Here is a 24496-nt window from a genome sequence, read left to right on the forward strand (position 1 = left end):
AATTAAATGGTTGTGACCAAAATAGTGATAGAAATATGGATAGTGAAGGCTAGGCTGATAAGGTATCAGATGGAAATGAGGAATTTATTGGGAACTGGAGCAAAGGTCACCCATGTTACACTCTCCCAAATAATTTGGTGGTATTGTATTCATGTCCTAAGGATCTAGGGAAGCCCGATCTTAAGAGTGATGACTTGGGGTATTTGGCAGAAGAAATTTCTAAGCAACAAAGTGTTCAAGAAGTGACCTGGCTGCTTCCAACAACCTATAATCAGATAAGGGAGCAAAGGAATGACTTAAAGTTGGAATTTATATTTAAGAGGGAAGCAGAGCATAAAAGTTTAGAAAATTTGCAGCCTGGCCATGTAGCAGAGAATTTAACCAGGCTGCAGAGAAACCACTTGCTAGAGAGATTAGCATGACTACAACAGAGCCAAGTGCTAATATCCAAGACAATGGGGAAAAGACCTCAAAGGCATTTCAGAGATCTTGAAAGCAGTACTCCCCATTATAGGCCCAGAAGCCTAGGAGGAAAACAATGGTTTCAGGAGCCAGACCTGGGACACCACTGCCCTCCACAGGCTTGGGATGCTGCTCCCTGCATCCTGCCTGCTCCAGCTCCAGCTGCAGCTCAAAAGTCCCCAGGTATAGCTCAGGCCACCACTCCAGAGGCTGCAATCCATATGCCTTGGTGGCTTATGTGGTGTTAAACCTGAAGGTGCACATAATGCAAGAATGAAGGAGGCTTGACAACTTCTACCTAGATATTAAAGGCTATATGAGAAAGCCTGGGTGCCCAGTTAGAGGCCTGCTGCAGGGGCAGAGCCCCCACAGAGAACCTCTACTAGGGCAATGCTGAAGGGAAATGTGGGGTTGGAGTCCACATGCCAAGTCCCCACTGGGGCACTGCCTAGTGATGAGCTTCAGATGAGACTTAGTACTTTTAGCTTGATGCTGGAATGAGTTAAGACAGAAGAGTTGGCAGCGGGGGGATCGTATTTTGCAATGTGAGAAGAACATGAGATTTAAGTGGCCAGGGGAGGAGTTATAGAGTTTGGATGTTTGTCCCCTTCAAATCTCAAGTTGAAATGTAATACCCAATGTTGGAGGTAGGACCTAGTGGGAGGTTTCTGGGTCATGGGACAGATCCCTCATGAAGTCCTTGGTGCTGTCCTCTTGATAATAAGTGAATTCTCACAAACTCTGGTTGTTTAAGTGTGTGACACCTCTTCCCTCTCTCTCTTGCTCCCACTCTCACCATGTGAGATGCCTGCTCCCCCTTCACCTTCCACAATGAGTGGAAGCTTCCGAGGCCTCACCAGAAGCAGATGCCAGCACCACACTTCTTTTCCTATCTTCAGAACCATAAGCCAATTAAACCTCTTTTATTTGTCAATTACCCAGTCTCACATAGTTCCTTACAGCTGTTCAAAATGGCTTAATACACTCACCGAATTGCTCGGCATAAACTGAAGCAGTAAATTTGGGGAAAACTGAATTTCTTTCTAGTCTACTACCTTAGGAAGGCCTTAAAATTCCATTAGTGAATTTTTAAGCCAGGATTCAGGCCTTGCTCTATTCAATGAGTGTGTATATTTGAGGAGCCTCAGAAGAGTCTGAATACGCAGTCAAGTGTTGTCATTCTCCTCAAAAGAGGAATTCGGGCAATCTCTTTGATGGAACAGTCAATGATGGAGCTGGACACACAATTCTGGTGTGCTGAGCCACTCATTTATTTATGCATACTTATTTTGTGTTTCCTGCAAGCTAATCTTTGTGTAAATATAGCCAAGATATCATGAAAATTCCCATGTGGAGTCTGTTTGGAAGGACATTAGTAATACATTTGAAAGTTTCCAGCAGATAAAGTACCAGAATGAGAAAAAAAAGAATACTAAGTGACAAGAAAGGCATCCAGAGGGTAGAGGCTCCATTCAGCTGCTGACCTGTGGTTCCACTGTGGAGAGCACGTGAGAAGTCCCATTTCCTGCAGCTCTCTCTAAGGCCGCAGTGGCTGACACAGAGCTGCTCTGCAGCAGCAGGTCTCTCTCTGGGCAGCGTCCAGCAGAGGCAGTTGATGGCTGCAGATTGTGGAGAGGGCACTATCTGCCTGGAGAGTGGTAGGTCTGCTGTGGATTTTCTCTGCTTTTAGTTTTATTTTGAATACAGATTTGAATTGTGGACAGTGTTGCAGGACATGGAATCTCTCTCTTAAGCTTTTTACCTAGCCAATTCTAGGTCTGATCACAATCCACACCTGGTTCTGGAGAATGACACCACTTTCCTCCTGTGGAGAGGCAGGATGCTGTAATCAAACTGCAGTATGTGGGAGGCAGACTGTGACTTGGGGAGCATGTTCCTGCCTCCTGGTTCTTAACTCTACATTGATGGTGGCCAGGCAAAAGACAAACAGGTATGAGTGACGAGAAACTGACCTTAGGTGGAGTCCTGGAGAAAGTCTTGGAATGCCACCTTCTACTGCTGTTGCTCTATGACCCCATCCTTTTCTTAATCCCTTGGCTGGAGAAACTGTAGGAAAAACCTTTCCTTCCCTCAGCTCCTGGAAACCCATTTGAAGTCTGGTTCCTATCATCCTTGCAGCCTAACCTTTTCTCTGGGAGAAACTGATTGAAGAATGTGACCAAGAGATTTATTCTCAGGGCTGCCACCAGAGATAAAAGAAGGGTCTGGGAGTGCAATGAAGAATTAGAAGCCTCAAAATCAAGCCATATTTCACAGGTTCCATTTGCACTTGGGGAGGGGAGGGGAGAAGAGAAAAGAAGGATGTTTCCACGCTTGCTCCTGCTGCGCTCCAGCTGAGAAACCACACAGCGTCCATCCTGCTGGACTCCTCGCTTTGCCCATGACACTCGCTGTGGGAATAGGGACCCAGGTAGCATATTTGTCATTCACACTTTCTTGAAATCAGCATCATACAATCACCAGCTTCCTTGGCATCTGCTCTCTATCCATTCCATAATAAATACCTCTCATTTCGTTCACATCGATATACAGTTTACTGAGTCCTTTCACATTAGTTCACTCAAATCAATTTCCTGAGGAAAGCACCAAGTGAGGTTTTTGGGGGTGTAACAGTGAACAAGACTTGGAAGGCCCTTGTCCTCAGGGAGCTTACAGCCCACTAGGGAGACAGGCATGGCCAATATAAGAAATCAATGACAGTATAGTAATTGCACATTGTTGTAAGTGTTGTAAAGCAAACAAATAGGACCTGAGATAATGCATATACTATTAAGAATTATATTAAATGCAAATCAATACAATTCTCAAGTTAAAAGGCAGGAGAGGAAGTGGGAGTGACTGCTTGATGAATACAGGGTCTCCTTTGGAAGTAATGAAAATGTTTTGGAACTAGATAGCAATGATGGTTGCACAACACTGTGAATGCACTAAATGCCACTGAATTGTTCAATTTAAAATGCTTCTATTTCATGTTATGTGAATTTCACCTCAATAAAAAATAAAGAAACAATAATCTGTACTTATCTGCTCATATATCTGATATCACTCATCATAATCATATCCAACTTTATTTGCTGGAAAACTACAAGTTTATGTTTTATACCACAATACCCATTCATATTTGATATAGACTTAAAATCTTCTACTATCTTATATATAAGTATATATGTTACATAGTACATGTTACATATATAGCATGATATGTGTTATATATAAATCATATATTTTATATATATAAAACATATACTTTTTTATGTATATAACTTTTCTATATGTACAGTGTTAAATTTGACCCAAGGCTATCTCCATACTTTGAGTTCCTACATAACAAACTGCAACTTAGCGTATAAACAAACCGAAACCTAATTTAGGAGTATAATTTTTAAGTTTGTTGTAACAAACAGCCAGATATCAGCCAACATAAGCAGTCAAGCAGTCAAGCTTCAGCCAATCACAGGCAGCCAACTGATAAGGCCACGCCCTAATAAGGCAATGGCTAACTAATCGAACTATTTCTGTGCTTTACTTCCAGGTTCTGTCTATAAATGCTCACTTCTCATATAGAGTGGAGCTCTCTGAACCTCTTCTGGTTCTGAACGCTGCCTAATTCATGAATCATTCTTTGCTCAAATACAATCTGTTAAATTTATTTTGTCCAAAGTTTTTCTTTTAAGAATAAATAATTGAATTGCTTTTTGCTATTAACATAGATCCATTTCCCTTCATAGAAGGGTAGCAGCCATCTTGTGTGAAATTCCTGTATCTCATTGTCTGTAGTAAACTTTTCCTTAGTCTTTTCCTCCAGGCTGAACTATCCCAGGACTCTACATTTTCTTCCTGATCAAGTTTCCCATCCCTTCAAGTCTTACCGTGATTATCTTTGAAGCCCATCCTATGGTCTTCATATTCTTTCCTCAGTGACGTTACCTTATGGGGCTCTTCGCAAGTGTCCTCTCCTACAAGGGTACACCTGGATCATGCCAGATATGCACCTGCACTGAACACAGAGGCTGCACATGCTGGAATATGTTGTCCTGGCTCCATCTTTCATAACTCTTACCCTTTCTGCACTCAGCCAGCTCTCCTGAGCTTTGGTTTCACCTTTCCATTCTGCCTTTCTGGGCCAGCTCCACACTGGTCTGCACACTAGTCTCTTATAAATATATTTCTGATCTCTTCTCTAATTGAATAAAGTGACCGAATTGTTCAAATATCATGGAGATGAATGCCTTACTCAAAGATAGCAGACTGTATTCATATGCTCCAGCCTTTACATAAGAAAGATCATGCATGCATTGCACTGCATAGACATGTGCCCCTGGCAAGAGCCCCTGGCTTGAACATTTATCCTGAACAGCCATCCTGCATTCCTCCTATACTTGATATCCCTCTTCTCTCCCTGGTTCCTCATCTTCCTAGTTATTCTTCACCTGGTTTCATGCCTTTAGTCTTCTTTTTTGCTCTTCCTCTTTGTTTTAATAACTTGTTGGGAACTCTTTTCCTGGGTTGAAAAATTATGTTTTCTACTCTGTTTGGCTCTTAACTTTATATGGCTTGAACACACCCTCTGGCTGCTTTGGTACATGAGAATTACATGCACAGGAGTTTTGTCCCCACTGAACAATTTCTTCAGCTGAAGAGAGGAAGTATGTGGCATACACAGTATGTGCCATATTCCAAACACGTATCTGTTTTCCAAAGTAAAATGAGTTACTTAAGGACAAGAAACTCACAATATGCAAACAAAAATCACAAAGGAAATGCTCAGAAAATGGTTTCCAAGGTGGATTTTCTCTAACTGAACAAGGGCCCAGGCATCATTCCCTTCCACCTCTTGAAACTGATGACTTCTCCAGGTTCCCACAAAACAGATTCTGTACTACACTGACACTTGATATGGGTCCAGTTAATTCTAAAACTCTGTGAAGTAAATGGGACAGCATGGTTATCCTTTCCTAGCAAAGGAATAAAAGAAAAGACCTGTAAGGTGAAAGGATTTACCCTCTGTTATACAGGAATTTATTGTGGTTTGAATCTTTGCTTGTCTGAAAATATCTGTATTTTCCCAAGCTTGTAGAAGCATTGCTTTCCACTGCCCTCCAACTTCCAACATTGCTATCAAGTCAGCACCTCTCATCCTAATCCTGTGCATGTTAGCTGTGTTTATTTTCTCTCTTTCTCTCTCACCTTTCTCAGTTTTAGTATCATGTTTTGTTTCTGAAATTTCACAATGGTATCACTGGTAGATTTTTTTTTGTTCATTTATGTGAATTTATGATACTGCATACACAAAGGTTTTTCAATCTGAAATCTCAAGCCTACTGGTTCTGGGCGTTTGTCCAGTATTATTTTTCCAATAATTTCCTTCTGATTGTTTTCTCTGTTCTCTGGAATACTTCTTAGTTAGATACTGTTCTTCTGAATTGAATCTCTAATTATTTTTTTTCTTTTTTATTTTTTCTTTTTTTTTTTTAGATGGAGTCTCTCTGTGTCGCCCAGGCTGGAGTGCAGTGGTGAGATCTTGGCTCATTGCAACCTCTGCCTCCCAGGTTCAAGCGATTCTCCTGCCTCAACCTCCTGAGTAGCTGGGATTACAGGAGCATGCCACCACACCCAGCTATTTTATGTATTTTTTAGTAGAGACGGGGTTTCACCATGTTGGTCAGACTGGTCTTAAACTCCTGACCTCATGATCTGCCCGCCTCAGCCTCCCAAAGTGCTGGGATTACAGGTGTGAGCCACCATGCCCAGCCTCTAATTTTGCATCTAGCTATTTTCCATTAATCACTACTATGCCTTTTTGTCTGCCTTCTGTGTTTTTTACCTCTTTACCTACCACTTCTTTATAGATTTAGTCTCGATCTGTTGCCCAGGCTGGAGTGCAGTGGCATGACCTCAGCTCACTGCAACCTCCACCTCCCTGGTTCAAGAGATTCTCCTGCCTCAGCCTCCCAAGTAGCTGGGATTACAGGTGCACACCACCAAGCCTGGCTAGTTTTTGTACTTTTAGTAGAGATGGGGTTTGACCATATTGGCCAAGCTGGTTTCAAGCTCCTGACCTCAAGTGATCCACCTGCCTCAGCCTCCCAAAGTGCAGGGATTACTGACGTGAGTCGCCGCGCCTGGCCTAATGTTTTTAAATCAAAATCTTTTTTTTTTTTAATTTCTAAGAGATCTTTCTTGTTTTCTTATTGAATTTGTTTTTAGCATCTCAGTTGAGATAAAAGGCAAGATCGTGACTGAAGGGAAGAAGCCTGCTCTGAGTTTCAAATACAAAATTGGTCTTTTTGTCAGAACAAACAGCTTGAGAAAAAGGAGTCACTAAAACTAATTGTTTTTCGTTATCAAAAACATTCAGTGCTCATGGAGAACAATATTTGAGACTCCATTCTATTATGAAATAATTGGGGATTATGTATTCCAGGTTTTATCACAATTATCTTAAAAATCAATACTTTTTTAGAATCAGTAATTAACTGTTTATTTAGCTAACCACTACTTCCAACATCCCAAGTCTTCCTCAGTTTAACTATTGATATTTTTGTTTTAGTTTGCTTGAATAGATTTGCCAGAAATTTCTGATAATAGGGCTTATGATTAGTAAACTTCGGGTCCTTAAAAAAAAAGGGCTCAAAGTTGCTTAAAACAACTATTTTTAACCTTGTAATTTTGGGGGCTTGGATTAGAATTCTAGCTCAAAATAACACATTACAAAATTTTAAAGATACTGATCTATTGCTTTCAGAAATTTCTTGCTTTTAAGAACCCTGATTCCAATCTGGTATGCATTTCTTTATAGACAACCTGTAGTATTTTTTGTTTGCCTCGTTAGCTCTTAGAACTTCTTTTTCATTCTTGGTTTTCTGAAATGTCACCACACGGTGTGCTTATGGTTTGTCTGTTACAGTTATCCTATTTAACACCCAGTGAGCTATTTCTATTTGAGGATTCATGTCTTCATTTATGAAAAAAGAAAAAAGTCTTCTGTTATTTATTTTCTCCCTTCAATTCTCATTTCTTTTTCTTTTTCAAGTCCTATTAGATGGAATTTGGAACTCTCTGATAAATCCACTTTGTCTCACAATGTTTCTTTAATATTTTCTATTTCTTTGTCCTTTGGGGATACATTTTACGACAATTCTTTGTTGTCATTTCCCAGTTTACAAATTCAGTTTTCAGCTATGTTTATTCTGTTCCTTAATCCACTATTTTTACTTCATTTATCTTTTTTCCCTCCAGATCTCAAAGTTTTTGCTTTAATTTATATATAAAATACTCCAATCCATTTCTGTGATGTTATACATGTTAATATTAACTACGCTTATTCTTAATTTCTTGATTTTCTAAACTTCCTTTACTATTGCGATATCTTCTTCATGTAATTTGAAATTTTAATGTATTCAACATGTCCTTTTAATGATGTTGATTTCTTGCCAGTGTTTGGAGATTCTTGATTGTATGGCCATCTTTGCTTTTGTTTCTTTGACTGAGAGGGGAATTGAACATACATTTCTGCTGAGTAAGGTTTGCTCTGTGTGTGTGTGTGTGTGTGTGTGTGTGTGTGTATACATACATGCTTCTACTAATATTTATATGTATTAAATTAATGAAAAACAAGTCTCTGTCTTCACAGGTTAGTCATAACCTATGGCATCAGTCTGCCCAGAAAGGCAGTCTATCCTGGAATTTAAGTAATTTTTGGTGGTAGACAAACCAGTAATGCCAATTACTAACTCTACGACTTTGGATAAATTATTATTCTCTGAGCCTCAACTTTCTTAGCAAAGTGAATATAGCTCAAGAGTAATGGGAGGATTAAGTGTGCTCTTGCAAATCTGTACACTAGTGCCTGGCACTAGCAAACAATAACACAAGTGTTAACTGTTATTTTGGTTGTCTCCAATCAGAACCTATTAATGGAGAAATTGACACGGAAAGGAAGGAATCATTTAGTAGAATTGGTAATGTGATGTTGGGTGAAATACTTTGATCCAAGAAATGTCCCTGTCCTTGTTTCCTCACTCACTGTCCCCTCATAGAAATCCTCGGTCCCCCTATGTCTCATGTCCTGAAACGTCGGGTGGGAGAGGCCCTGAGACACATCCACACAGCCCTGCAGCACAGAGGTGAGCACACTAGGCCAAGCCTGGGCATGAGGAGAAGAGAACACTGTACCCGCCAGAGGTTTGCAGCTTTCTCTGAGGATGGGAACCCACGTCCCCCCTCAGGGTTTCATCCTGCGGGCCCATCTGTTCTGTGTTTTTGCTTTTGATTTCCACTGGTAGCTCTTGTAGACAGCTGAGCATCTTTTCTCCCAAGAAGTGAGCAAGAAAACCTTAGCCAAAATCAGCAGCTGTTGGTGTGCTTAATAGAGAAAATATCTCCCAGAGCTGCCAAGGCCACATGATACAATGGGATCCGCGAAGCCCAAGGTTCTTTTCCCAAGGCACAAAGCAAATTTTAGCACAAAGAATCTTCACTTGGCTCACTTCCGCCCTTGGGTCATAAGTGCGGGACCCCAGACTCATTCTTCAGAGGTGCTGCCCAGCCATTTGGAATGGACTGTGGTGGTCCATGGATGTCTGGGAAGTGGTTTGCTTCTTGTCTGTGTTCCTTCTCTGTGGCTGCAAGCTTGCTGGGGCTGGATTCCCAGGCTCTCCGACAGCAGGAGTGCACACACCCTGACCCAGCCTGGATTATGTCCCTCTATAGACTGGCCATCATTCCCACCTCTCAGGTCTCAAATCAGGCTATGAGTGCAGATTTCGTACCAATCTGTGGACTGTGGGTTTGCTCAGCTGGGACCTCTGGGGCCTCCAGAAGAGTGGAGAAGAGACAGAGTGCTGATAGGTTGGGCAGATGACCTTCAAGATCAATTAACACTCCCTGATTGCAGCCAACTCCTCAGTTCTAATCCTAGCAGATGAGCAACAGGGCCTATCACTTGCCCCAGGTCTCACATTCCAAGTCCTGCACTCTCTCCTCTGCTCTTACCGCCCCATCCTGGAGGAGTCAGGAAAGCCACACTGCCCTTGGCTGCCTGGACTTCCCCCACCAGCTGAGCTGCTGAGAGGCTGGTGGACTGAGGGGCGGAGCAGACTTCTGACTCTCTGAGGAAGAATCCAGCTGAGAGCCCCTCTTCTTAAGTGCTTCCAACCCAGCCAGTCCGAGTAAAGCAGGTCTGCAAACAGGGTGAGCAGGGGTCAGAAGGGAAGAGACAGCCTCTATAAACATCAACACCATGCCCTAGAACTAGGCCCCAGCTGGAGCCTCGCCAGCAGCCTCCCAGTCAATCAAGAAAAAGATCCGGAATTGGGGAAAAGGAAGATGCATCAGGGCCAAGCCTCGCGCCAGATCTGGCCTGACGCTTCTTGGTGCCATTGACTGTCCTGGCTGCATTCTGTTCGCCCAAGGTCAGTCCTGCCACCAGGCCAGGGCTGGCGTAACTGCCCTCCCTGCCAGGCCTTAATCCCATTCCCTGGAATTAGGCCTCATCTTCCTATTTCTTCTTGCGGGGCTTGTAGGGAAGGGCTTTTCCTGATGATGGACAGGGCTTTTTCTGGTGCCAGTGACAACTCCAGGGTTGCAACCTCCATCCAGACATTCTCTCACCTCATCCATGGATTTCAACAGTTGCTCAGACTAGACTTGAGTTTTCATTTGATATCAGGGGCATAGAACAGGGGAAGAAACAGGCGCTTTAGTTTTAGATCTCTGTCAAAGTCCTGGCTCTGCACTTACTACCTGTGTGGCTTTGAGCAAGTCGCTTACCCTCTCAGAGCCCCCACTTCCCCCATAGAGAAATGGGAGAATGGAAGCTATCAGAGTGGCTTCCATTTAGAAGGAGCTCCTCCCAGCCCTTCTCTAACAGGTCAGAGGAATGGATGTGCTTCCACCACTCCCTGGCATTTGGAATCCCAGCCAAGTGCCGGTTCTGGCTTGGCCATCTGCTCCATCGCTGTCAGCACACTGCTCTGCATGGTGGGACAGTTCCCCATCTATGGTGCTCTCCTGAGCCATCACTGACCAGGCTTGGGTCTCCTTGGGCAACCTTTATTATGTGGTCTGCCCATAGTGGGTGGCCCTGGCTGCTCCCAGGGCAGGGACCATGGCACTCAGCCTGCATCTCAGGAGTACCTGTCTGCATTTTACTAGTTTCTCCATGAAGACTTGCTGGGTTGAAAAGAGTTGAGAACATGGCATAAGCTGTGGGATGGGGACCAAGAGAACCTCAGCTTCATGCTCTAACTTTACTCAAATTACCCAAACACTTCAGTGCAAACGCATCCTCAAAACTATTCCTCCCATGTGTCTTCTGCCTTAGAGAATGACACCAGCTTCCACTCAGTGCCAAAGCCTGGGCTTCACTTCTCACTGTGCCCCTCACCCACCCTCCCCACTCCACCACCCTTCTCTATCACCCTCTCCACCACCCTCTCCATTGCCCTCTCCACCACCCTCTCCATCATCCTCTCCAACACCCTCTCCATCACCCTCTCCACCATCCCTCCGCAACCATCTCTATCATCCTCTCTACTACCCTCTCCATCATCACCCTCTCCATCGCCCTATGCTTCACCCTCTCCCTCCTACCAATCTCCAAAACCTGTGGCTTCTGCTTCCTCTGTCTTATATCTCATGTTTAGTCTCTAGAATGCACGTTAGTTTAGTGACCAGAGAAGAGGTCCCATGCCACTGGGCTTTCACTAATGTCATTGCCACCACCTGCATGATTTCACGCCAGCAAAATCTTTCTCCCAGCCTGAATAACTCTTACTCATCCCAAAGACCTCAACTCCAATATTGCCTCTTCTAAGTATCCATTCCTGCCTCTTTCCAAATTGGATTAGGTGTTTGCCCTCCCAGCCTATATGGATTAGATGTCCCCCTGCTCAACCTATATGCTCCCTTCTCACCCCCATAGAGTAATTGTCATTCTTTGTGAATACTGCTAGTTTGCTTGTCTGTGTTCAACACTAGATGGAGTGCCCTCCAATGGCAGGGATGGTGTCAGTACTTTTCAATGTGATGTTCATTCCTAGCAGGCTACAGACAGGGTTTAGTAAACACTCGGCATTTCTTGAATGGATAAGTTCTCCTTCTGTAGAAATGAACTTGCCAAAGGTGTAGGTAAGACTCTCCCAGATTAAAGGCTAAGGAGCATGACCACTAAATTCATCTTGTAAACCTGGGTTGGATCCTGGATCAGGAAAGGGCCATTCATGGGACAATTGGTAAAATCTGCATAAAGTCTATGGATTAGATGAATGTTCTATCAATGTTAATTTCCTGATGTTGTTCCCTGTACTCAGATGGCCTGAGAAATTGACATCTAGGAAATCTGAACCGAAAAGTATATGGGAATTCTTTATGCTTTTTTTCACCTTTTTCGTAAAGTATAAAATTATATAAAATCGAAAGTTAAAAATGCAGACAAAATAAAGGTGTATATTAATTGAAAAGAATGAAAACTAACTTCAGGATTCCCTCGGAACTTGATTTTTTCATTAGTAAATTTATCACCAGTTTTCTTTTCCTTCTGCTTCCCCTTTTCCTATAAAAAGCAGTACCTGTATGACAGGGCGTGGGAGGGACTCACTGCTGAAAGCTTACATGACAGGCACGTGTGTGATGAGTAGGCCCCTGAACCCTGCTGGGTGCCACCAACCAGCCTAGCAGGTGATTGCAGAGCCCCCAGTGGTCAAGGTGGACCCGGCCAGCCCAACACACCGGCCCAATGCACCGGCCCAAGCGCTTCCTGCTGGACTGGCTGGGCAAATGACTCATCTGGACTCTAAACACTAGAGCTGCTTCCTACCATGCTGAGGACAGCACCCGTTCATGGGAATGGGCTTCACAAACAGAAAAGACCCCCAGGAAGGAGAGCGCCTAGCCCAATCCCTAGCTCCACCCTGTCTTTCATCCTCAAGCCAAGACGGCTCGTCCTCCGCCTCGTCCTCAGGGTGTGGACAGACTGTCTGAGTCTCAGGGTTGGGGCCTTCCCTTCAGATGTCAGGAGTGCAGGAGAGGTTGCAGGTGAAACCCCAGGCCTACTTCATCAGCTTGAGCCCCAAAGCTGGACAAACATCCCCTGTGGCAGCTGGCAGGCCTGTGCCCTCCAGGAGTACAGCTGGTCCAGGCCGCCCTTCCCATCCAAGACTTGCAGACGTGGGAGCCATGCCACTGCCTCCTCCTACAGCTGCAGAGCCCCTGCACTCAGAGGCAGGACACCCCACATTTATCCACCCAAGCTCCAGAAGAAGGGCAGTCAGCCTTGGCTTGGGCATCTGGGGCAACATGGTAAGCACTTTCCCACAGGGCTGCCCCCAGGGCTGTTCAAAAGCTACTCTTTGGAATGAAATAAAATCTGCCCCCAGCAACATCCACCTACAGATCAAAGTCCTACCCTATGGTGATTACACAGAATCGGTTTGTTTTCTCTGCCTTGTTGCAGTCCTTTAAACATCTGGAGACAGTAACCGTTTTCCTCCAGTCTTTTTTTAGACAGCGCTGTGGGATTAGACAGTTCTTCCACTCGTCTTCAAACAGCATGGTTTCTAGATCCCTCAAGATGTTACCACTGTCTCATATACTCACTTTTAAGGTTCTTTCTATAATGCAATGGACAATGAGACTACAAAGTTCCAGACAAACTAGCCAGCACAGAGGACAATAGGACCATCGCCTCCTGTGATCGACACCCCATTTTTGCATTAATGCATCCCATCATGGCCTTGTTAGCAATGTGTGACGTCATTGCTCCCACTGAAGCTGCAAGACAGCCACAAACTCCAAAACATTCACTCTCTCATATTTGCACAATTAACTTTTGAATACCAAATAAATGTTCTATGTTAATCACTGCTAATATTATATCTGTTAGTTTTGTCTCTATAGTTAACACAATTTCATAACTATTCCTGGGCCTCCCAAGAGCATGGGAAGTCCCTCCTAATGACGTGCATGGTGGCTCCAAGCATGTCACCTGGGATGGGAGAGTGTGCAAAAAGACAAAGCTCTGCAGGGCCCTGCCCATCTGATAATGCTCCCTTACTCCTGGGGAAGCCAAGCAGAGAAGACTCCAATGCTTTAAACCATGGATGTGAGGCATTGTGAAGGGACTGTGTGCTCTAGAGAGGGTGTGAGGGGATGCAAGGGATGCTGGAGGCAAGGTGCACCTCTGAACATGTGCGCATTTGGAATCCAGTCAGGAACCAGCAGGCCTATGGGCCTGGAGGGAGGGTCCTGGCAGCCCAGACACCCCTCCCCACACCGACAGGAGTTAAGACAAAGGCATCACTCTGCTTCATCACTTCTAGAAGAAAGAGAGGCAAGCAGACTGAATGTACGCCTCACAAAGGGTGTGATTTACTGCTCCTGAAAAAAAGTGCTGAACCTTTTTCATTCTGATGATATCCAGACTCCAGAGGGGCAGCAGTTCACTTCAGCGGTAGACAGTAATGTGCATCTCTGCTCTGGAACTTCAAGCCACAGTCTGCAAGAAGAAACCCCACCTAGGAAAGTGGCACCAAGAAAATGCTTCCTGCCAAGACAATGCATTAAATTTATTCCTTACAAACACATCTCAACTGGGGCTATTTCTGCCTCAGTGAACTCTCAGAAAGGGAGGCAATGTGGTGGTTTTTCTTTCATCACATAAAGGAAGTCAGTAAAGTGGAGCACTAGGATTGTACTAGCAAATGCATCAACAACGGACACAAAGTAGCCTTGACCTCATGCAGGATTCCACAGATGTTAAAGTGTCTGTACAGATGAGTGGGGTCACCTGCGGCCAAGTGGTTCCATCATTAAACCATCCAAGGATTAGACCATGTCTAGTCTAGGGTTCATTGAAAGCAACTTCTGGGTGGTCACAGCAACAATTGGGAGGTTTGGGGTACTTACTGTGTTCCCAGGAGGTGTATGTGGTCTCTGGGCATGGATGATACTCATTCATTTCATGTTGGTCGAAAGACATGGTATTTAGTGAACGTTTTACATCATTTCTGCTTTGAAGTTGTGGCAAACTGTTGTTTCATTTAAGATGTTCATTTTCTCCCTCTCCATTCTCTACTAGTTTTGGTTTATGTTTTCAGTAGTATTCAAAGCAACTTTAACCATAAATCTCAGTGCCTTGAAATTATTTTTAATTAAACAAAAAACTCATTTAATATAAAACAAATATATATTAATTAAAACTCTGAGGACAGCCTTAGTAGAGGTATAAATTTCAAATCAAACCAATCAGAAAAAAGAACCAACAGAAATTTAATAAATGGAAAAATTTGGGAAGAAAGTAAACAGTAATAGCTGATGGTGCATTTACTTGGTGCCATGCACTATTCTGAACACTTTATAAATATCAAAGAATTCTTTCACTATCCTATGAGTTGTGCATCTTAAAGACAAAAAGCCTTAGATGCAGAAAGATTAAGCGGTTTTCTTATGATGGCCTTTCTAGTAACTTTAAGAACTAGAATTTGAATGCAAAACCCCCACCCTTAACTATTATACTGCTTCTTTCTTGATATAAAGTCTATTAAATAGAAGTCAAAAAATTAGAGCGATTGTATAAATAATTCCAAATATATCACTGATTATAATAACTATTACTGGGCTAAGTTTTCCCTTCAAAAGGCAAATTATGTCAACTTAAATGTATTGTTAATACAAAAATCTTACACACAAACACATACAGGATTGAAATTAAGAAAGACAACAGTATCAGAGTTGTCACAGAGGCCTGCTAATCGCCTGCTTCTCACATTTCTAGAGAGGTAAGCACACCACTCCAGCCATTGGCTGGAGACTCCCTCACGTGCAGGTCTCTATCCAGAAGGGAATTCTCTGACCCGGAAAACACAGGGAAGGTGACTTCTATTGGATTCTCGTGACCACGTTACTGAGTTCCCCACATTAAAAGGTGAGCAGGGAGGGCATGTTCTACTTTCTCCTGCAGCTTCCAGGACCTGCCTGTGCTTTGTCATTGCAGGGCTGGGCACATTGCTGCCTCTGGGAGGCCAAGCTGGTGCTCTTCTCATGCTCCTCACTCCCAGGCTTTGGCTGGTTGAGCACCTTAGTCATCCAGTCTGCAGGACCAAGAATCTCCAATTTGGGGAAGAAGGAAAAGGAAAAGGAAATTCCATTTTTCCCTTAAGCACAAGACTACTTTTCCATAATAAAACCACCTCTGTTCTTAGGACTCATCCAGCTGTGCTCCCAGTGGACTAAGAACCCAAAAGAGATGTGCAAGTATTTATCTCCCTCCAAAAACTGGATGGGATTTTAACAAACATGTCAGAAATTGAAAGAAGCAAGAGCACAAAAGACCGAGGGTGTAAATAATAAAACTAACAAACTTGATTGTATAGCTAGAAATAGAAAACAGACAAAGATATGGAGACATTGTTTCTACCAAAAACAATAAATAATAAATAAAAATTTTATAAAATTCTACAGTGTACAGTACCCCCTCCTTATCCCCAGGAGATTTGTTCCAAGACCCCCAGCAGATGCCTGAAACCTTGGATAGCACCAAACCCTATATACTGCTTTTTCCTGTACATACACACCTATGATAAAATTTAATGTACAAATTTGGCACAGTAAGAGATTAACAATAATAGTAAAGCAGAATAATTATAACAATATACTCATGAAAGTTATGTGAATGTGGTCTCTCAAAATATCTTACTGTACTGTACTCACCCTTCTTGTGATCTGTCGATCTTATCATCAGAACAATGAGTGAGTGACCAACGGGCAGGTAGCAGAGGCAGTGTGGATACCTGCACAAAGAGATGATTCACCTCCCCAGTGAGACACAGCAAGATGGCACCAGATTTCATCGTATTACTCAGAACGCATGCAATTTAAACGCATAATTTTGAAAGAGGAAAAATTATAACAACTCCATATGTAGAATAACCCAGAAACAAAGAAGAAAGGAATAGCCTCTCTCCCCAAAATAAGGTTAACATTTAAAAATATAAAAAACTTCAAAATAATATTTAGATTTAAAAAGAAATCAAAGGTAAAAAGGCTCTTTAAAAGGAAATGTAATTCAGAACATTATTTATCGAAACCTATAAGATATGGCCAAAAAATACTCTAAGGAGCATTTATAGCCTCAAAAGCATTGGCTTTAAAATATACTGAAAATAAATTAAAATATTGTACTGAAGTAACATTCAATTTAAGAAGAACTCCAAAGTAAACAAAAAACAATTTTAACAGAGGAAAAAATACATTTAGTTAAAATACAAGTTAATGAAATAAGAATGATTATTAAATAAGAATGAAATAAAAGAAGGTAAAAAATGCAGAGAGTTCTCTCTGAATGGAGGGCTCACACCTACCTGACCCTTTGCTGGAGTAATCTCTGAGCTGCAGTCTCGGATTACCTGGTGCCCCACAGGCACTCTCTCTGAAGCCAGAGGGTTCAGACCCACCTAACACATCACAGTGCCTCAGTGATGGTGAACACATGACCTCAGAAGCCTCTTAGCCCATCTTTCCCCACCTCTACTCAGAAAGTTGTTTCTCAGTTGAGCCACACTCTGACAGTTCCTAACCCTAGACAAGGGAGGAGAGAAGATATATGTGTCAGGCAGAAGTGGCCTCTCTCTCCTTGGTGCAAATGCACCACCAGGGCCCTCAGACTGCACCCACTGCAGGGAGACAAAAGAGGAGAGCAGGGCCAGAGGAGGGAGCTGCCCTTAGAGACTTCCAGGTGCTTGATCAGCTCCCCTGGCATGGATCAGTGAGAGCCAACCCCAGGAGACATCTTGGGCTGAGCTACTAACACTCAACTCCTCCTGCCTGCACCTTGTGGAGGGAGTAGCTGGTCAAGCACTGAGTCCAAGGAGAAGGTCTGGCCTCCTCCCCTGAGAGGAGGAAGGATGGGGACAACCAGGAACAGGGAAGACTGGGGCTTCTCTAGGAGACCAGGCCCTCGCAGGAAAGAGAAGCCCCACAGACATGGAGGCTGGCCAAGCTTTGCCCATTGGGCAGTGCTATGGACTGAGCTGTGTCTCCCCCAAAATCTAAGTGTTGAAGCCATAATCCCCAGTATGACAGGATTTAGAGGCAGGGCCTTTAAGGAAGTAAATAAGGTTAAATGCAGTCACAAGGGTGAGGCCCTGATCCAACAGGACTGCTATCCTATAGGAAAAGGAAAGCACATGAGAAGTACACACACACAAGGAAAAATCCACATGAGGACACAGTGAGAAGGCAGCCATTGCAAGTTCGGAAGAGTCCTCACCAGAAACCAACCCTGCTGACACTTTGTTCTTGGACTTCAGGACCGTGAGAAAATGAGTTTCTGTTGTTTAAGCCACCCAGTCCGTGGTACTTTGCTATGGCAGCCCAAGCAGACTAATACAGTGAGGAGAAAAAATAAATTAATAAATAAATAAATAGCAAAACAAAACACAGCCACTTCCTCTATTGGAATAGCCAAGATTTTTCTTTTTACATACTATATGTTAGAAAGAGAGAGAGTAAAAATGTAAAGAAAAGTGTTGGCTTTTTTATTTTAACTAGTGCTTAGCAAGTTTAAAACAATATAAATGGTGAAGGCCATCACACACGCATCCCTTCATTTGACACTTCAGGTCACGGCATCTGTCTGAACCTCCATGGCTCATCCCATTCAACAAATGTTTGACTGAGCAAATATTTGACGGCAGGTCTTGCGGAACATATGTGTGACAGGGAAGGACTGACAGGGTGATGCCACAGAGATGAGCAGCAGGGACCCAGCTCAGCACTCTCCCTTCCGGGCAGAGCTGTGTCCTCCCGCGAGTGCGTCGGGGCAGAAGCCACAGAGTCCACGTGGGGTCCCTCTAGAGTCTGCACCTGTGAAAACAACTGCACCTCCCTCATCCTCCATGTGCGTGCCTGACAGGGCCTGGCTCTCTGGCCAGGGGCCAGGGGGAGCTGCCCAGAGACGGCCCTTCAACACAAGAGCAGCAGGAGTCAAGCAGGAAACCCGGAGAGCCACTCCCTGAGGAGGAGCAGCCCCAAGGGATTGTGGGGGGCCAGTGTCAGCTTGGCCTCAGACATCCCAGCACGGGTGCAGAGGAGCACAGCACTGTAGTCCCCCCAGCTCAGTCGCTGTCCCTGCTGCCTGACCCAGCTGCCCAGCCTCTTTGTCACTGGTCACATGATTCTTTCACAAAACAAGTAGAACAAGGCATGGTTGTATGAATTTCTAGCTCCCTACCCTCCAGCCTGGGTAGGTCAGGGCACCTGTCTGAACCTCCATTGCTCATCCCATTCAACAAATGTTTGAGCAATCATTTGATGGCAGGTCTTGCGGAAGATATGGCTTATAGAACACGAAGCACATGTTTCTTTTGCAATTGCAGCACATCTTACATGTATGTAAAAAGTAGCTCAATTAAACAGATGAGTGTTAATATTCAAAGATGAGGAAACACATTCTCTACATTGCTGATGGTGTTTATGTCTGCAAAGGGAATTCGGATTGGGAGGATGGATGGAAATTAGAGCTTGGAATCCACAATCAGACCAACACAGGCCTTTGGCGGCTGGGAAGAGGGTCGGGTGCCCTGATCTTCAGGGCCTCCAGCGCTGGGTTCGGGGTTCCTGACCAGGATCCTGAAGCTCCACCAGCTCGACAGCCTTGCAGAAAACAACAAGGGGGGCTCGGGCCTCTGTAAATATCTGTTCTTTTTCTGCTCACAGTCTCCACAGGAGGGGATGGGGCTGCATTTAGCTGCTAAAGCCTCTTCCTCTGTAAGTAGGATATTAAGGGATGGAGTCCAGCTAGATAAATAAACCAAGTCCCTGAGGCGAGACCCTTGCTGCCCCCGTAGACCGGAGAAAGTTCCCATAGTCGGACTCCGAGCCAGCAGCTGAAGGGCCTCCTCATGTTTCAGGATTCGGGAGAGGAGGGGCCACGAGGGATCAGCTGTGGATCACATCCCAAACGCCGCTCCTCTCTGGGCTAACACCGCTGGGCCTGGGGATCCTCGTGTGCGGAGGAGGACGAAAGTGTGCCGGCAGCTGGCTGGATCCTGGAAAATGCAGAGGGGAGGGGAGGGCCTGTGGGGACCCTAAAGGCCCCAAGGAGAGGCTGCGGGAAGGCCAAAGGCTGGCGCTCTTATTCCCAGGCATGCCAAGCCCCTGGCTCACACAGGCCTGTGGGGCTCAGTAAAGGACACAACACAACCCTTCTCTGGGCTCCTGGCTGTCTGGCGGGGGAAAAGAGTTGGAAAAAGAAGGCCCATATATCTTAAAATGATAAAAAGTGATGGCCACATACATTGTCAGATGCCTATGTCATTGTCACTTAAGGCATTATGGGGACAGATGGCAAGACAAGCACCATGCAATAATGAGTTCCAACCTGAGTTCTCCTGCTCTGCTAAGGGGTCCTGCGCGCTGGGTAGAGGCCAGGGAGACAGTGTTGATCCACAGACCTGGGAGGAAGAAGTCACCAGGCTCTGTGAGGATCAGCAGAAACCAAGCAGACATCCCACTGCACTGCCCAGGAACCTGGTGGGCATCACACATTTGGAAATACTTTTAGGGAAAGGGGGCAGAAGACAAAGGGGAGCAGTAAAGCAAGTAAGAGTGTCTGTCCAAAAGTCACCAAGAGCAGCTTACAAATCCTGTTCACAGGCGCTCTTGCCTAGACGCCCCTTCCCGGGTCCCAGCGCTTCAGCGCAGCCAGTGTCTTTCCTGTCTTTCCACTCTGAGTCCTCAGGCCAGGCCAGCTCCATGTCCGGGTGCCTTAGCACAGCCTTTGCCCCCAGCCGTGGGGTTGGGAGGCTTCACACCACTCGCTCCAGCCTGCTCCGGGTGTGAAGGCAGCACCTACATGCAGTCCTAACCCTCACCCTGCCTGGAGCACAGAGCCCCAGGTGAATGCTGGCTGGAAGGATTAGTACACTCATCATGTAGGACAAGAATACTATCCCCATTTTTGGACAAATAAACTGAGGTTTTGATTTTTTTGTGTATGTAATTATAAGAGTAAACTGGGAGTAGTTCCAGAGCTGCTTATTCTAAATCTCTCACACACTACCTTCTCAAAGTTAAGTGGAGGCACTGCCTTGATTGTTTCAGCAGGCCCACTCGAAAGTTGCCGGTGAAGGGATGTTCTGGTACTGAATTGAAAGGGAGACAACAAAAGGAGCCAGTGGCCAGTGAGAACACCTCAGAGGGTGTCCACACACCAGCCCCCCTGCTCTCTCCACCACAGGAGCGTTTAGCATTTGCAAATGTGAGTGGAGAGCCTCAAGATTTCGCCGAACTTGGAAAGCATCAGAGAAGAACTACTAATATCTCCATTCACTATGTGCTAAGCACCCTTTGATACACATTGCAGGGTTAAAAAGGTAAACCAAAGCACAGTAAAATTTTTAAAGAGTTTGAGCAAACAGGGATTCATGAATTAGGCAGCTCCAAAGAGGAAGTGGTTTGTGAGTTCCATCAAAGGAATGCAAGAAGGAGATTTCTATAATACAAACAGGGAAGTCAAACAAAAGAAAATATTTAATTGATTATGGATATGCAATTGGCTTATTGAGTCTATCCCACTGAAAAAACCTCTAGTTACATACAAGCATACCTTGGAGACATTGCGGGTTCAGTGACAAACTACTGTCTGCAAATACTGCAAATATCACAATCAAGTGTGTCACATGTTTTTTGTTTCCCACTGAATACCAGTTATGTTTATAGTATACTATAGTCTATGAAGTGTACAATAGCATTATGTCTAAAAAAGCAGTGCACATACCCTAATTCAAAAATACTTCATTGCTGAGAAATACTAATGATTATCCGAGCCTTCGGAGACTTGTAATCTTTTTCTGGTGGAGGGTCTAGGCTTGATGTTGACATGTTGACGGCTGTTGATTAATCAGGGCAGTGGTTGCTGAAGGTTGGGGTGGCCATGGCAATTTCATAAAATAAGACAACAATGAGGTTTACTACATCCATTGACTCTTTCATGAAAGATTTCCCTGTAGCATGTGATGCTGTTTGATAGTATTTTACCCACATTAGAACATCTTTCAAAATTGGAGTCAATCCCCTCAAGCACTCCCACTACTTTATTGTAATCTACATTTATATAAAATTATTCATCCTTTGTTGTCATTTCACAATGTTCACAGCACTTTCACCTGAAATAGATCCCATCTCAAGAAAGCACTTTCTTTACTCACCTGTAAGAAGCAACTCCTCATCTGTTCAAGTTTTATCATGAGATTGCAGCAATTCAGTTTAATCTTCAGGCTCCACTTCTGATTCTATTTCTTTTGCTGTTTCCACCATATCTGTAGGTGCATTCTCCACTGAAGCCTTGAATCTCTCATAGTCATCCACAAGGGTTGAAATCAACTTCTTTCAAACTCCTGTTTATGTTGATATTTTGATCTCCTCTCATGAATCATGAATGTTCTTAATGGCATCTAGAATGGTAAATTATTTCCAGAAGATTTTTAATTTACTTTACCCAGATCCATCAGAGGAATCACTATCTATAGGAACAATAGTCTTACAAAATTTGTTCCTTAAATAATAAGACTTGAAAGTCAAAATTACTCCTTGATTCATGGGCTGCAGAATGGATGTTGTGTTAGCAGGCATGAAACATTAATCTCTTTGTATATGTCCATCTTGGGTGACCAGGTGCATTGGCAATGAGCAGTAATGTTTTGAAAATAATCTTTTTTCTGAGCACTAGGTTTCACTTATGTGTTTAAAATATTCAGTAAACCATGCTGTAAACAGATGTGCCATCATCAAGGCTTTGTTTTTTCAGAAAGAGGAAATTTAGCATAATTCTTAAGGGCTCTAAGTTTTTTTGGAATAATAAACGAGCATTGGTTTCAACTTCAAGTCGCCAGCTGCATTAGCCCCTAACAAGCCTGTCATTTGAAGCTTTGAAGCTTTGAAGCTTTAAAGCTAGACATTGACTTCTCTCTACGTACAAAAGTCCTAGATGGTATCTTCTTTCGACAGAGGACTGTTTTATCTACACTGAAAATCTGTTGTTTAGTGTAACCACCTTCATCAATGATCTTAGCTAGATCTTCTGGAGAACTTACTGCAGCTCCTCCATCAGCTCTTGCTGCTTTACCTTGTACTTTTATGTTATGGAGACAGCATCTCTCCTTTAACCTCATGAACCAACCTCTGCTAGCTTCCAACTTTTCTTCTGCAACTTTCTCACCTCTCTCATCCTCTATAGAACTGAAGAGTTAGGGCCTTGCTGTGGATTAGGCTTTGGCTTAAGGAAGACTGTGGCTGTTTTGATCTTCTACTTGGACCACTTAAACTTTCTCTGTATCAGCAATAAGGCTATTTCACTTTCTTATCGTTCATGTGTTCATTGAATACATGAATGATGATTTTCTCTAAGAAATTAACTTTCTCAAGAATGTTTCCTTTGCATTCACAACTTGGCTAACTCTTTGGTGCACAAGACTTAGCTCTCAGCCTGTCTCCACTTTTGACACGCCTTCCTCACTAAGCTTAATTGTTTCTAGCTGTTGATTGAAAGTGGGAGATGTGGACCCTTCCTTTCACTTGAACACTTAGAAGTCATTGAAGAACTATTAATTGTCCTAGTCTCAACATTGGTATGTCTCAGGGAAAGGGAGGCCTGCGGAGAGGGAAAGAGAGGGAAACAGTCTCTCTTTTCAGTAGAGCGGTCAGAACACACACAACCTTTATCTACTAAGTTCGCCATCTTATATGGGTATAGTTTGTACCCCCTGCAAAAAATTACAACAGCAACATCAAAGATCACTGATGACAGATCACTATATATAATAATAATGAAAAGGTTTGAAATATTGTGGGAATTACCAAAATGTGACAACAAAGTGAGCATATGCTGTTGGAAAAATGGTGCCGATGGACTTGCACAACACAGAGTTGCCACAAACCTTCAATTTTTAAAAAAGCACAATATCTGTCAAGTTCAATAAAGTGACGTGCAATAAAACACGGTATGCTTTCAATTATGAGTGAGTTGGCTGCTTCTGATTGGTTGAGATTACGTTCTGCTTTTCTTTAAGATAGATATTTACAAGAAATAGCTCAAGTTAAGTCTCTGTAATGTTTGCAAAGCAAGTGAGGTTAAAGTCACTTAGGAGGCTTAACAAGCTTTATCTGCTCAGGGCTTCTTCAGGCCTGGCCTCAGTGTTAACTATGGCAGCTGCCTCTGAGATGGCCCCCAAGGATGCTCATTCAGTGTGAGAGTGAGTGGCTTCTGAGGCTACAGAATCACAGCCATTGCAGCTTTCCCCACTCTCACGGTGGCTCGCTCTTGGGGAAGCCAACTGCTGTGCTGGGAGGACACTCATGCAGCCCATGTAGGGGCCACTGGACCACCTGCCAGCCATGTGACTGAGCCACTGTGGAAGAGAAGGCCACATGGCTGCAACCACAGAGACACCAAGCAAGAACTGCACAGCCCAGCCTTGCCCAAATCTCTGACCCACAGAAACCATGAAATGTCATCAATTGCTCCTGGTGTTTTAAAGCCACAACATTTGAAGTGATTTGTCATGTAGCAATAGATAACCAAAGCAGATTAATAATTTAATCACCACAAAAAACAAGAGTACATATACTATTACCTTTAATAAATGAGGAAATGGGACATGAGGCAAACAGCCAGTATACATTTGCTAGAGACAGGTTTTGAATCCATATGGTTTGCTTCTCACTGCACTATCCAAGACAGTGGCCAAAATCCATTAAAAATTTTTAAAAATAAGACATTCAGTTTCTCAGTTTGTACTATTCACAATTCAAGTGCCCAGTGTGGCCAGAGGAAGCTATGTTGGAGAGTGAATATCGGATGTTTCCATTATTGAAGGAAGTTTGGTTGGACTGTGCTGGTGTGGGGCATATTCAATTAACCACTACATCTAACATCTAAAAATAAATTGGAGATCCTTGCTTGAATTCACCAAGGGAATTACCAGTTGTGGGTTGCTCCTGGAGTGTAACTGGATGG

At 43.7% G+C, this 24496-nt stretch overlaps 1 long non-coding RNA gene across 1 annotated transcript in view, besides 2 other annotated features; it reads right to left on the reverse strand.

Annotated features, from left to right (window-relative positions):
• Positions 21-683: an enhancer, noted in NCBI's record as "OCT4-NANOG-H3K27ac hESC enhancer chr10:45304779-45305441 (GRCh37/hg19 assembly coordinates)". NCBI's record gives its function as "activates a minimal SCP1, AML or CMV promoter by ChIP-STARR-seq in naive and primed H9 embryonic stem cells {active_cell/tissue: H9 hESC(naive and primed)}" and the evidence as "EXISTENCE:reporter gene assay evidence [ECO:0000049][PMID:30033119]".
• Positions 1714-24496, reverse strand: part of TMEM72-AS1 (TMEM72 antisense RNA 1) — a 148666-nt gene continuing 125883 nt past the window's right edge. The window contains exons 4-8 of the long non-coding RNA NR_033842.1: positions 21690-21935; positions 16842-17058; positions 16192-16271; positions 13880-13978; positions 1714-2873 (exon numbers count right to left, since the gene is read on the reverse strand). This is a non-coding gene — a long non-coding RNA (TMEM72 antisense RNA 1). The remainder of the gene's footprint in view (positions 2874-13879; positions 13979-16191; positions 16272-16841; positions 17059-21689; positions 21936-24496) is intronic.
• Positions 19877-20740: an enhancer, noted in NCBI's record as "H3K4me1 hESC enhancer chr10:45324635-45325498 (GRCh37/hg19 assembly coordinates)". NCBI's record gives its function as "activates a minimal SCP1, AML or CMV promoter by ChIP-STARR-seq in primed H9 embryonic stem cells {active_cell/tissue: H9 hESC(primed)}" and the evidence as "EXISTENCE:reporter gene assay evidence [ECO:0000049][PMID:30033119]".

Source organism: Homo sapiens, chromosome 10 (genome assembly GCF_000001405.40).
Source record: "Homo sapiens chromosome 10, GRCh38.p14 Primary Assembly".
Taxonomy (NCBI): domain Eukaryota; kingdom Metazoa; phylum Chordata; class Mammalia; order Primates; family Hominidae; genus Homo; species Homo sapiens.